Source organism: Homo sapiens, chromosome 5 (assembly GCF_000001405.40).
Source record: "Homo sapiens chromosome 5, GRCh38.p14 Primary Assembly".
NCBI lineage: Eukaryota > Metazoa > Chordata > Mammalia > Primates > Hominidae > Homo > Homo sapiens.
The window spans coordinates 105939567-105941523 of NC_000005.10; the positions used below are offsets into that span (position 1 = coordinate 105939567).

Sequence of the window (1957 nt, forward strand, 5' to 3'; positions counted from 1 at the left end):
AGAGTAACCACAAAAAAACATGGAGCATAAAGGTCAGTGGGAACAGGAACCAGGAATGAAATAAAGAGAACCAGAAATGGTAAGTAAAATGTAAATATCTAAAAATCTATCTATCTATCTATCTATCTATCTATCTATCTGTCTGTCTGTCTGTCTGTCTGTCTGTCTGTCTGTCTATCTATCTATCTATATTTGCCCTTATTTCTTTTCTCAGCTTCCATAGTAGACAAAAAAATAAATTAATAGCAATGCATTATTTGCTTTGTAGCATGTATGGATGTAATAGATATAATAACAGTAAGACAAAAATGGAAAGATTAAGTAGAGCTATATAGAAGTAGCATTTCTATATCTCACTAGAATTATTAGTATAAATCTGAAGTCAATTCTAAGTTAAAATGCATACAATAACCTCCAAAGTAACCACAAAAAAATAACTTCAATGTGATGGAAAAAAATAAGTATTTATTTCAAAACAGGTAAACTATCTATAATAAAAGTTTGTAAATACACTGCCTATATGCCTTCTTTCTTAAGCAAACTTCTCTGAACATACATTCAATCTTTGGCAATTGGAGGTCTTCATTATGAATATAATTACAATGTCAATGTGTTCAAAGGCTATACTACAATAGGAAGTTGAAATACATAGAACTGTTTACCATTAACCTAACTGCTTCTTGTTTTCCCTTTTGTTACTTGGCAAGTGATAATCCCTTCATTGTGTTCACATCACAACACACATTAAAATGTGATTTATTGATTTACATGTCTTTTATATTTATCTCTATGCCAGCAACCAGCACAGGGTGCTTCCAAGGATAAAAACTAAATGAATGCTTGACTAAAGACTAAATAGAAACTTGGAGATTAACCACTTGAAGTAGTTAAGAGTGAGGGCTCTGCTTTGAATATTTGCTAACTCCTTTACTGGTTGTACTTCTTCCTAAAGTCACTTAAACTCTGCTTCTGTTCTCTCATTTGTCAAATGGAGATGAGTATAGGGCTTATCTCATAAGGTTGCTGTGAGGATTAAACAAGTTACTATCTAAAGACAGCCATCAGAGCTGTATCTGACTTACAATAAGTATTATGTGTGCCTGCCCATATTATTAATGTACGAATATACTAACATGTGGTTTTGTACTTTGGTAGATCATTTGATTCTTCATATTCATTGAAAATTTGAGATTCCTGAGCTTATTAGGGAAGTCACTTCTGGATAAAACTTCATATTTATTTAGTTACTTGCTATTTGCAGTTGCATTTTTCTTGAAGGCTAGTCTAATTATAAATAAGGAGTAGCCACAAAACATGACAAATTTGTCTTTGTAGAACTTTGAGACTATGACTTAGAAAATAAGGAGATCTTATTTTATAATCCTAATGCTAGCAAAGGCTCATTCCAGGCAGAAGGTTGTGAATAATATGGATCGGGTTCTCTATATTGTTTTTCACCTGTGTAAATAAATGAACCTTGATATTCCACACGGTTTTGCAATTTTGTCACAATATTCATTTGTCTGTTCTCTGTTAAATGTCCTGATGGTTCATGTCAGCAGGATATGTTGGAATTCACAGCAAAGGATCTGCATTGTGGGATCTCATTGACTGGCAGCTGGAAGTAACTTAGAGAAATTTTGTGCCTTTAGAATATTTTTATGTTGTTTAAAATTCTCCTCAAAGAACATGTGATAATACTAGAGTCCTGCCGAGTATCAACAACTCAAGAGCAGCACTGAAATAAAAAGGGCTCCAAACTTGCATTTATTTAATGCTTAATTTATCATGTCCAACAGTTATAAGTAGCTTCAGTATATTACCAGCTCTAGCTTTTATTTATATATTATTACAGAATGTTTCATCCAGTTTTTAAGTCTCTGAGGTTCTGAAACATTTTTTTTGTTTTGGAATTAGAAAAGGTATGATAATCTTTACTCTTTGTGTTCTTGCCACC

The 1957-nt window shown here is 32.4% G+C and overlaps 1 annotated feature.

Annotated features, from left to right (window-relative positions):
* Positions 369-1150: an enhancer, noted in NCBI's record as "NANOG hESC enhancer chr5:105275636-105276417 (GRCh37/hg19 assembly coordinates)". NCBI's record gives its function as "activates a minimal SCP1, AML or CMV promoter by ChIP-STARR-seq in naive H9 embryonic stem cells {active_cell/tissue: H9 hESC(naive)}" and the evidence as "EXISTENCE:reporter gene assay evidence [ECO:0000049][PMID:30033119]".